Source organism: Homo sapiens, chromosome 5 (genome assembly GCF_000001405.40).
Source record: "Homo sapiens chromosome 5, GRCh38.p14 Primary Assembly".
Lineage (NCBI taxonomy): Eukaryota > Metazoa > Chordata > Mammalia > Primates > Hominidae > Homo > Homo sapiens.
In genome coordinates, this window is record NC_000005.10 from 128,323,606 (window position 1) to 128,336,327 (window position 12,722).

Below are 12,722 nucleotides of genomic sequence, written 5' to 3' on the forward strand. Positions count from 1 at the left end.
TATGTTGAACCGGCCTTGCATCCCAGGGATAAAGCCGACTTGATCGTGGTGGATAAGCTCTTTGATGTGCTGCTGGATTCGGTTTGCCAGTATTTTATTGAGAATCTTTGCATCAATGTTCATCGGGGATATTGGCTTGAAATTTTATTTTTTTGTTGTGTCTCTTCCAAGTTTCGGTATCAGGATGATGCTGGCCTCATAAAATGAGTTAGGGAGGAGTCCCTCTTTCTGTTGTTTGGAATAGTTTCAGAAGGAATGGTACCAGCTCCTATTTGTACCTCTGGATGAATATGGCTGTCAATCTACCTGTTCCTGGACTTATTTTGTTTGGTAGGCTATTAATTACTGGCTCAATTTCAGAACTTGTTATTGGTCTATTAAGGGATTCAACTTCTTCCTGGTTTAGTCTTGGTAGGGTGTATGTGTCCAGGAATTTATCCATTTCTTCTAGATCTTCTAGTTTATTTGCAGAGAGGTGTTTATAGTATTCTCTGATGGTAGTTTATATTTCTGTGTGATCAGTGGTGATATCCCCCCCTTTATCATTTTTTATTGTGTCTATTTGATTCTTCTCTGTCTTCTTATTTGTCTCACTAGCAGTCTATCTGTTTTGTTAATCTTTTCAGAAAACCAGCTCCTGGATTCATTGATTTTCTTTAAAGGGTTTATTGTGTCCCTGTCTCCTTCAGTTCTGCTCTTAGTTATTTCTTGTCTTCTGCTAGCTACTGAATTTGTTTGTTCTTGCTTCTCGAGTTCTTTTAATTGTGATGTTAGCGTGTTGATTTTAGATCTTTCTTGCTTTCTCCTGTGGGCATTTACTGCTATAAATTTCTGTCTAAACACTGCTTTAGCTGTGTCCCAGAGATTCTGGCATGTTGTGACTTTGTTCTCATTGGTTTCAAAGAACTTCTGTATTCCTGCCTTAATTTTGTTATTTACCCAGTAGTCATTCAGGAACAGGTTGTTCAGTTTCCATATAGTTGTGCAGTTTTGAGTGAGTTTGTTTTCTTTTTCTTTTTTTTTTTTTTTGAGATGGAGTCTCGCTCTGTTGACCCAGCCTGGAGTGCAGTGGCGTGATCTCGGCTCACTGCAAGCTCTGCCTCCCGGGTTCACGCCATTCTCCTGCTTCAGCCTCCTGAGTAGCTACGACTACAGGTGCCCGGCATCATGCCCGGCTAACTTTTTTTGTATTTTTAGTAGAGATGGGGTTTTGCCATGTTAGCCAGTATGATCTTGATCACCTGACCTCATGATCCACCGGCCTTGGCCTCCCAAAGTGTTAGGATTACAGGCATGAGCCACTGCGCTCGGCCATGAGTGAGTTTCTTAACCCTGAGTTCTAATTTGGTTGCACTGTGGTCGGAGAGACTGTTTGTTATTATTTCCATTCTTTTGCATTTGCTGAGGAGTGTTTTACTTTCAATCATGTGGTCAATTTTAGAATAAGTGCTATGTGGTGCTGAGAAGAATGTATATTTTGTTGATTTGGGGTGGAGAGTTCTGTAGATCTCTATTAGGTCCACTTGGTCCTGAGCTGAGTTCAGATCCTGAATATCCTTTATTTTCTGTCTCGTTGATCTGTCTAATATTGACAGTGGGGTGTTAAAGTCTCCCACTATTATTGTGTGGGAGTCTAAGTCTCTTTGTAGGTCTCTAAGAACTTGCTTTATGAATCTGGGTACTCCTGTATTGGGTGCATATATATTTAGGACAGTTAGCTTTTCTTGTTGCATTGATCCCTTTACCATTATGTAATGCCCTTCTTTGTCTCTTTTGATCTCTGTTGGCTTAAAGTCTGTCTTATCAGAGACTAAGATTGCAATCTCTGCTTTTTATTTTGCTTTCCATTTGCTTGGTAAATATTCCTCCATCCCTTTATTTTAAGCCTATGTGTGTCTTTGCACGTGAGATGCGTTGCCTTTTCTATCTGAAGTCTTCAATCCTCCTCTATGATTAAAGTTGACAAATGTAGCAAATCTAAGTCTTTGTCTTACAATTTAGGCTTTGTATATTCAGTTCTTTGTTTTATTGCAGGAAAATGTTTGGTTGTTTAGTACCTTTTTTCTAGTTGATTTTTTGGGCTCTCTTCAGCAACACCAATTATACTGATGTTTATAGTTTTTGTCTTTTCTCTAATAGTGTTAATTTCTCTTTCCTCTTTCCACTGTTATTATCTCAGGCCCTTTCTCTATGCTAGCAATTACATTTTCATCTGTATGTCCTCTGTTTTTTGCTGTTTTTATTTAATAGTCCTCTTATTTTGCTGTATTGGTCCCCATTTCTTACTTCCCTTGATTCTACAATCTCCCTTTTACTCTATAGCTCTTATAATCTCTACAAACTTCTTCAACTACATTTATGATTTTATTAAGATCATATATGGCATAAAGTACCTATGGAAAATTTGTTTTATTTCTTGAGTTGTTTTCTTCCATCGTGGGTTGGTTCTTTAGCTGATTTTGTGTTTTTCTTCCTTTCGTTTTCACAGAATGCCTGCATAGTTGCTACTGTTTTTCAGCTTGTATAGACACTACTTTGTCTGCTCTTTCAAGAGCTTCTATCTACTTTAGTACAGTTTAAATAACATCTCTTGATATCTTTCCTTCTTTATCAGAGCTTTATGTGGAAGATAGCTGGTTTCGGTTTCATTAAAGCTGTATTCAGTCGCCCAAAGTTTCGTAAGGTGGAGGGAGAGAAGATTGAGAATGGGGAGAGCTCCTCTGGGCTCTATGTTGATGAACTTAGCCTTTGCTCTCTCCTCAGAAATTATAGAAAATGGTCTGTATGTAGGTCTGTTCCATTTAATGGAGTCCTCTCTCATGTTCCTGCAGGGGCTCCTCCAGGTTTTATATTCCCCCATTTTGGTGGAATTTACTGGGAAATGGCCAACTTCAATAATTTTTTGAATTCTATAGAAATTCTGAGACTTTGGTGAGAAGTGGATGCTTAGTGGAAAATATTCATCGGAGGATCATGTATTTATAATAAGATGGGTAGACAACAAGGGATTAAAATAGTAAATTCAGGAGAAACTGTCCAGATGACCCAGACCTTGTGGAGAGGAGAGAAAAACAAGGAGAATGGCCAGAACCATGGAATTACATTTTTTGGATCTCAAAAGCTGGTGTTCAGCTGAATGGAGCAGAGGGTCCAACTGAGGGTGAACTACAGGTGTGCCAACCCTCAGCTTCCCTGTCAGTTAGGAGTTTCTCTCTGTGGTAATGACATATGAGAAAACTAGATGTGAAGGAAGTACAGTAAACAGTAACTATTTAGCACCATCTTGGGGGAGAGGGAAGTTCTGAAAGGGCCTATGCCACCCATAAAGTAATACACAATTAGGAAGGAAAAATCCTGTCTGGGTATAAAGAATTTATGTTGTTGAAAGTGGCTACTGCTGACCTGTTCCTTCTCCCACTAACTCTTGTCAAGCTAATGTAGATAATAAATCATGTCATTCCACATTTACATTGATTCACATTTTCTACTAATTCTACTACTAAGCTTCAGTGCTTAGAAGAAACCAGGATTGGGAAAAAAAGGAACTCACCCTACAGTTGCCTTATATAAAATGGATTAGATTCTGCCCAATCTTGTGGGTCAACGTAGAAGCACGAACGCTTTCAGTTTCCAACTTCATCTTCCCTACGGCCAACTGTTCATCCCCTTTTTCTGAGTCTCTCCAAATTGGTTGCTATTTCTGGAGAATTTCATGAACTTTTGGCACACTTTCTTTCTTCAGTGCCACTTCTGATGGTGGAGCAGAGTTGGGCTCCACTCTGAACCACCGCAGGTTGTATAATTTGGTTTTGTTTGGTTGATGCTGATGAATTGTGTGTTTGTGTGTGTATATGTGTGTGTGCACGTGTGCCAGTACTTGCCAATTCTGTTCATTCTGGTTAGATACTGATGTAGGGGGAAGTTTTTAATATGTTTCATTTTATCATTTTTGCTCAGCAGTTAGGTATTTTTTTTTTTTTCATGAGGCTGCATGACTGGAAAACTGAGTTCTTTTGTTGGTTTGTTTGTTTTTGTTTTTGTTTTTTTTTTTAGACTGAGTTTCGCTCTTGTTGTCCAGTCTGTAGTGCAATGGCGCAATCTTGGCTCACCGCAACCTCCGCCTCCAGGGTTCAAGCAATTTTCCTGCCTCTGCCTCCTGAGTAGCTGGGATTACAGGCATGAGCCACCATACCCAGCTAATTTTGTATTTTTAGTAGAGATGGAGTTTCTCCATGTTGTTCAGGCTGGTCTTGAACTCCCAACCTCAGGTGATCCACCTGCTTCGGCCTCCCAAAGAGCTGGGAATATAGGCGTGAGCCACCACGCCTGGCCCAAACTGAGTTTTTTTAAAGGTTTTCTGTGAATCATAAATTCTACTGAAGCCCTATGGTGTATAAATTATTTTCAATCTCTCCTTTCTTCATTTATATTTTCATATAGTCCCTATTCATAACACAATGATGGCTCAAACTATATATAATGTGAATTGAGTTTCTAATTTAATAGAAAATCCAAATTCTTTTTCTTGGAAAGATATCATACTAGGCACAAAGACCCATTTCTAGGAAAGGTGGATGATGTCATCACTTAGAATAAGGAACCACTAGTATTAAGCAAAAGTACAGCCCTTGCTGAATCCCTGAAGAGGACTTCCATTCCCAGACATACAGACAGCAGTCTCAACCACGAAGGTAAATGCCAAAAATGAGCTTTTTATGATTTTGATAAACACAATAAATAGTGGTAGTTGAGACAAGTAATGGAGCATACTTTAAAAGCTGAATAGTTTCTCCACATGTCATTCATTTAGTGATAAAAAAGAGAAAGAAGAGAAGAAATGGTTAAAAAAGAAAAAAGAATGATCCAAACTTCCAACTACTGGCTCTTGGCCAGGAAAACTTCATAAGAGATGAAAGCCGCCATCATCATTATTCATTCGGCAAAATAATCCACGCTTAAACGAATGACTTTTATAGTGCAGCATGTGCTATGTATTCTGCTTCCAGGTGGAGCTTGTTCCAGCCCTTGTTGTGGTTTCATTTACTGTGGTTGATCCAACTTGAAAATGAGTTGGAATCCTGGTGACCCACCTTGGCAGGATCTGCTGTCTGAGGCTGGAGTGAAGCCCATCTCACACTCGCAGCGATATGCACCCGGGACATTAAGGCACTGTCCGTTCTCACAGAGGTTTATGTTTTCTGCACACTCATCAACATCTGTGCAAAAAAGCAAATTACATCTCTGTTAAGTTCCAAATTTCATGACACATTTTCTCCTTGCTCTATAAATAGATCAGTTTTACTGGCTTGACTTAATGCTCATTAACATGAAACAACAGTTAATCACATTCACTTAAAGGAGGGTATCAACCTGAGAGAAAATCTATTTATCTTGCCCCCTAACATTCAATTGTAATATAATTAAAGAAAAGCTATTTAACCTGCACCCTAACATCCAATTGTAATATTATTAATAGGAGAAACGCAGACATCTCTCACATTTGTCTTGTTTCTCTTGTCAGTAGTATGCCAACATTATTTAGATATGAAAAAGAACATTGGAATTAATCTTAAAATGGTGATCATTCTTTGAGAAAATTATAGTATTCGAATAAATAACTGGCTTTTTCACTAATTCAAGTGTTTTAAAGCAAATTAAAGACACTATGGGAATGGGGAAAGTTTCTTTCATGTCATTACAATCTTATAAAAATACTCCTATCTTAATTACACAAACAGACATTACTCACAGACCTTAAAGATAATTTAATTCTATCAAGCAGAATAAGAGGGAAGGAAAAATCACTGTTTAGTGAGGGTGTCATTTGCCATATGCTGTGCTGGTGGCCTGACATGCATTTTTTCACTGAATTCACCAATCTCCTGAGGTTTAGAAGAGGAAGAACCTGTGGCTAAGAGCAGCCAAGTAAGCTGACACAGCCACACTGAGCTAATAATGCATGTTGACTGAGCCAGGATCTGATTGCAGATGTGTCTGACATGAAAGCCATGCTCTTTCCTTGACACCACAGTGCGGAGAAATGCCAGGAAAGATGCAAACTCTAAGGCTACAAGTTATGAAGCTTTAAAACTGAATAAACATGTTTCCTTAAACAGGCATTTGAAAATGATGAGGCTGCATTTTTGATGTCCACAATTTGAAAAAAATTTAGGCTATCCGTTAATTATGGGTTTAAAGTGTGTACTGAAAATCAATTGAGAAACCCTTATTTTATAAACTGAAGAGTATTCAACTTTACGTCCAGCAAGATTATCTAGTCTTATACATGCATATAATGAGAGGATGCTTTATCCTCAAAGAGTATGAATGAATAGAAGCCAAACAGAAGCTATTATTTACTGAAATTTTGTGATGTGTTCTTCTAAGTCCTTTATTTGTATTATTCCATTTAATCCTTTCAATGCCAGGTGATAAACTACTGAGACTTTGATAAACACATTAAATAGCAGTGATTGGATAGGTCATATATCCTATCTTAAAAAGCTGAACAGTTTTCCCATGCCATTCATTTAGGAATAAAAAAGAAGAAAAGAAAATTGTATTATTACTATTGCATTTTAAATCAGGACAGACAAGTTAAGTAATTCACTTACAGTTACAGGCAAAAAATGGCATAGGCAAGATTTGAATCCAGGTAGTCTGATCCAGACAAAGCCTGTGTTTTTTTAACCACTGTGTTACAAATGAGTAAGATAAAATGGCGAGTCATTAACAGTACATGATTGTTACAAATGCCGTTATTTGAAAACTTCCAACAATATATTTGGAAAGTCATTCAGGTTTTTGTGTTTAATGTAAGAGAAAGATACATAGTCACCTGCAAGTCAAGTATAAAAAAAGAGGTAGTTACTTTTGTCTCCTTTAATTATAATTTTCTTCAAATAAGGAAGCATATAGAGTGTTCTATGACCATCCCGTCAGAGCACACCTCAGGACTGTCACCCACCTGAGCAGGTAAAGCCATCACCAGTGAAACCTTCGGAGCAGGCACAGCGGTATGAGCCCGGGGTATTTACACACTGAGCATTGATGCTACACTGGTGGGTTCCATTAGAACATTCGTCCAGATCTGCAGAACACAGCAATAAAGTTCAGAAATGAAAATGGAACATTTAAGCACCTGGAAAGATTATCGTTTGTCTTAATTTACATATAAACTGGATAAATGACAGGCATTTTAGTTTGCAGGATCACAGTTCTAATTCGCTAAGCTCTCAGACCCAATGTCCAATGTCCAGGCTATAAATGTGGGCCAAAATTATGAATTCAAGCAATTTGTGAGATATCTAGTCAACGTGAATTTTTTAACAGCTTAAAGCAAATTAGTGTTAGATCTCATTCTGACTTCTACTGAGGGTGAATTTTATTAGTGGTTTCCTTATCAGTAGAAGAATCAATTCTGAAGGTGATACTGAATTTCAGAGCAGGAAAATTAACAAAGAGTTTTTAAGTTTATTTAATAGATGAGGAAACAGAGATATGATTCTTGACCTCATGGAATCCCTTAGTTGAGCAGAAAAGACAGATGTTAAACACAGAAAAAAACTAAATCTTGCTATATGTGCCATGAAGAAAAGTTACAAGGTGCCATGAGAGAATAAAAAAGGCATCTGATTTGGGCTGCAGGAACAAAGATGCCCCCATTGAGGAAGTAGTTTTTAGTTAAGGTCAGACCTGAGGATGAGAAACAATTAACTTGCTGAACAGAGGTGGGGAAGGATATTCCTTGCAGAGGGACGAGTGCATGGTAAGACACCAAGGAGGAAAAGAGCTCAGTGTGACTGAAAAAATGAAAGGAGGTTAGAGTGGCAAAGCAGAATGCACCAGACAGAGGGTGATGGACAATGAAGCTAGAGAGACAGTGGAAACCCGCAGCCAAGGGAGGGAAGCTGAATTTTATCCCGAATTCAATGGGTTATAGTGAAGACTATGAAGAGATCGAATCCATGGTTTAAAAGCTTCCTCCTGCTGCTACGTGGAGAATGGATTGCAGGAGGGCCAGAGAGGGAACAAGCCAACATACCAGAGGGGATTCTTTTAGCATTCAGCAGACACGAAGAGCGAGGGCATGTGAGAGAGACAGAAACTCTCTCTGGTTGGGACTAGAGTAGGGGAAAGAAGATGTAAAGGAGAGGATGAATTTGGGTGACATCCTGGAGCACAGGAGGCTGGACACAGCTGAATGTCTTGTATCAGAGGCAGGCTGTTTTGCAATAGTTGGCCAAAATGACAGATGGACAAGAAGCATAAAAATGGGAGGCCAAAAAGAGAAAAAGAGTAGGCACATGGGGCTACGAAAATGGGAATGAGGGTATGGTTGAAAAGTTATGATAGTAACCCTGGAAAGATGGCTGGACTAGAGGCTGGCACTTCACTAAGCCATTGCAGGATGTTATTTAGCAGTTATTTGGAAGCTCTGATACTTCAAATTCTATAGTCAGTACATAAACTTTTGATAAGTATGAAATATTTGAATGGATAAAAAAGTATATATTCAAATTAACTTATAGTTTTGGTAAGAGATCTTAAAGCTATTCTTTAATCCTTACTGAGGGCCTATATATTTTTTGTAAGTTATCAGGGGGAAGTGAGTTTAGCTTGCTTTCTTTTCTGTTTTAAATTGACCTAGAAATTCTTACTAGTTGGAAAAATGCTTTATTGTAAGGCATGTGAAACACTAAGCATATTACACAAAACTGTGAATGACACTCAGGGTATATTCTAGTCCCTTCCCTCTCAGATATAAAAGACTTCTTAGACTCTGGCTCAAGAACCATAAAACTTGGAGAATTTGCCTATTTTTTTTCTTCAAATAAGACCTCTTGGAATGCAAGAAAGCATTTACAATTTCCTGTAAGAAGAATTCTATTTTCTAATAAGATGGTGGTATTGATGACTTACTAAAAAATTAGGTTATCTGAAAAAACCTTTTCATTGCTCTCCATTTATTCCACTGGATTTTAAATCTCACTGATTACTTCTTTGAAAAGATTGGAAGAACATACTAGTCATTTTTCATCATACAGCTGTGTTTGGATCACCAGCTGCATATCAATTTTTACTGAACAAAAACACATTAAAAAACAGGTGCCAAGGCATACTGTTGAAATTTTGATAATTTATATTAAGGGTAAAGGACACCCTTAGGCAGGAATTATCTTGCAACTAAGATAACCTTTTTATAAAGGAATTAATAAAAGTGAAGAGCATGATTCTACAACCATGCAAAAAAGAGCCTTTAAAAATTTGTGCCTTAGCAAAGGATATTTACATTTGCAAACTCACCAATACACTTGATGCCGTTTCCAATCCAGCCTTCTCTGCAGCTACACTTGAAGCTTCCTGGGATATTCAGACATGAGGCATGCATGTCGCAGTTATGAGCACCAATTTCACACTCATCCACATCTGATAAACCATAATTCATAAGAAGAAAATCAAAATACAAACTAATTAATTCTACTTCCAAGTATATTTTTGTATAGGTAACATTTTAAAGTAAAGATGCAACCGTATGGAGAAAAGAGTAGCCTAACTAACTTTTATTTTTAATTTTTGTAGGCTCCAAGAGGACTTGGAAAATTCATGATCCTAATAAAACAAGTTCTTCCCTAGAAACAACTGTCAGCCACTTTCCAGTAGAAGAGAGAGAGACACAGCAGTGTTGCTCCCCGGCAGGTATGTGTATTATCCTGGGGCCTTCTTCCCTGCCCAGATTCAGACACAACACCATAAAGAGGACATTCGATTACAGATCAAGAGAAATCTTATTTCCAATAATAGATGGTGCTATTCCTTCCTATTGATATTTATTACATATTTTTCATGAAGATAAGAATCTAACTTTTTAAAAAAAGTAATAGTTTATTCTCTTTAAAATTACATGATCATTTGTCATTTAAAAAATCAATATAAATATTTTACAGAATTTAAAAAAAACTATTCATTTAGGTGTATATTTTTATTTCTTCTACTTATTTGAGATTATAGAAAAATATTCACTGGGAATGTTATCTGGAAAGTAGCCAGATGCTTTCGCCAGTGTGTGTGTGTGCGTGTGTGTGTGTGTGTATTTGTGTGTCTGTATACACACACACATATCCCTATATATGTATGTATAACCTATGTAGATTTGGTTCTCCAAAGCTTTCTTGACTATAAATAGTAATGTGTTCTATCTAGTTCAACGATTACATATTATAGATGCTGAAATCACACACACACACACACACACACACACACACACACACTACTGGCTTCACATCAACCCTGTCAGTGGTGAACATGCAAAGAACACCTTCTTTTATAATCTGCCCCTTACTGGAGGGGTCAGCTTAAGGGCTGGGTTGGACTCTTAAGTCTTCCACCACCTGCCTTGAAAAAATATCACACATAAGTCTTAAATTGTGCACTGAGGAATACGTGATCCAAAACCTTGACCCCGGCACATCCTAGCCCCACCTGCATGCAAAAGGCTAAAACTAGTTAGTAGTAGTAGTAGAGAAAGGGAACAAAAGACAAAGTGAGCAAAGTGAGCAAAGAAGGAAAGTGAAGAGAGGAAAAAGAGAAAGGCAATTTGGGCACAGAGAAGAGAAGACAAAAGCAAACAGAAGAGCAAACAAGAAAGGAAAAGATGGGAGAAAGGAAGAAAGGGAAAGAGTCTCAATGAAACTTGATTAATTTTTACTAGTTTAAAAGAAGTGCAGAGGTAAATGGCAACCGGGATCCTCGGGTCTTTTGGTGCTCTTTGTACATGAATGTCTTCCAAGCGGGCAGCAGTCATACTCAGAAAGTGACTGATGCTGCATGAACGACCATAAGTGGTCAGGGCCATGGGAACCAGACTGTACTCCTACTCACTCACTCTGTCACAGCCCACAGCCAGCCCCACGGTGGGTGGCTCAGACAGCGTGCTACCACAGAGACCAGCCAAATCCATCACACATCCTATAGGTCACACACTCATCACACACACAGTCACAGTCTGGTGGCAGGTAACCGCTCTAAGAGATGCCAGAGAACAAATGATGTTGAAAGTTGGCCTTTGACATCTGAGAAGTTGAAATACAGAGAACACAAGCTTGAAACCTACCTGTACATCCTGTGGTCCCCTTCTTCACTGAGTAACCCAGCTGACAGTGGCAAATGAAGGATCCCTTTGTGTTCTCACATTCCCCAAACATGCAGATATTTGAATTTAGGTCACATTCATTGACATCTAGAAAATTTATTTTCAATATCTTAGTATGTGCTCATCACAGTAATTTAAAAGCTATCTTCTACACTGAATAGCATAATACTGAAATACACAGGCAAGATCTAAAATATAATCCATCCGCAAATCATCGTGTTATAGATAAATATACAACCTGCCTTTAGACATTTTTAAAAGTAATTCTTCCTGAGATTTTACAGTTCTAGTAAAATGATTTGAATTTTTAAAATAACAACAGAAAAAGCCTTCCTTTTATCACGCTTGTGTGTGCATGTGGGTGTGTGTGCATGTGTGTGTATAAATGTTTATCCTTTCTTATGATACCCACCAATGCATGTTTTCATGTCCATGGAAGCCATGAAGCCATCATAGCAGAGGCAGCGATACTCTCCAGGAATGTTGGTACACTGGCCGCCATCACAGATATCAGGATTGTTTTCACATTCATCAATGTCTGATGATACAAAATTAGCATCAAATGAAAATAAAAATGTCGTTCATCAATCTCAAATGTTTTTGTTTTCTATCTGGTTCCACTTGGTAATATCTGGAGCCATATTTTCAAGAAAAAATTAGTTAGATGTACAAAACCTGTGTGTTTTCCTTTCTATACCTGCACACGATCTCCCATCTGGCATCAGGGCATAACCCTCACTGCAGCTGCATTCGTAGCTTCCCTCTGAATTTGTGCACTGGGTGTCACAGCCTCCGTTCATTATCATACATTCATCAATATCTGTGAAAACAGCATTGCAACCACATTGTCAGGTCTGCTTCCTTAAAAGGAGTTTTCTTCTTTTTAAACAGATAATGCTAATGTGGCTTTGAATTTTTCTCCCCACTATGTGTGTTGATTGAACATTATCTTTCTTAGTTCTTTCACCTTCATTTTAGGCAGCATTCCATGTTTAAGTGCAGTACCCTAAGATTAACTCAGAAATAGAAGAACTATGGGGATTAGAGCATTTTCTACATTAAGATGAGTGAGTCTGCTGCAAGATCACACAATAACTGAGATCTGCCCCTAGTCTTACATTCATTTTTGGGACAAAGGATTTGCATAGCCTTCATTATAATTCAGCGCCAAAAGTTTTCCTAGGCTGATTTGAGACATATGAGTTTCAGGCCTGCTTGGTCTCCCCTTACCTGTACAGCCCTGGCGGTCTGGCGTAGCCTGATATCCAGGATTGCAAGAGCACTGATAGGTTCCAATCATGTTCACACATTTTCCATTTCTGCAGAGATTGTCACTCAGGGAGCATTCATTAATATCTATAAAAGATACACAGAAGTAATGCTTTACACAATGTCCACTCACTAAAGCCATCAGAAAGGTGCTTCACCAGAGCAGTGGTCTCCAAAGGGGTTTGTGTACTTCACGAGGAAGTAAAATGTTCTCCTGGGGGATTGAAAGAAAATGCTGGATTCTCTATTTCCATCTACAACAATACTGTTGAGTAAAGCTTTCTACAATGATGCAACTGCT

General features: G+C 38.2%; 1 protein-coding gene across 2 annotated transcripts in view; it reads right to left on the reverse strand.

The window, feature by feature from the left end:
- The window catches only part of FBN2 (fibrillin 2), a 280,337-nt gene that overhangs the window by 65,697 nt on the left and 201,918 nt on the right, over positions 1-12,722 (reverse strand). For both annotated transcript variants that reach the window (XM_017009228.3, NM_001999.4), the window contains 7 exons: positions 12,383-12,508; positions 11,850-11,972; positions 11,565-11,690; positions 11,114-11,239; positions 9,307-9,429; positions 6,968-7,090; positions 5,091-5,216 (listed from right to left, as the gene is read on the reverse strand). In XM_017009228.3, coding sequence (XP_016864717.1) covers positions 5,091-5,216; positions 6,968-7,090; positions 9,307-9,429; positions 11,114-11,239; positions 11,565-11,690; positions 11,850-11,972; positions 12,383-12,508 — 873 coding nt within the window. The remainder of the gene's footprint in view (positions 1-5,090; positions 5,217-6,967; positions 7,091-9,306; positions 9,430-11,113; positions 11,240-11,564; positions 11,691-11,849; positions 11,973-12,382; positions 12,509-12,722) is intronic.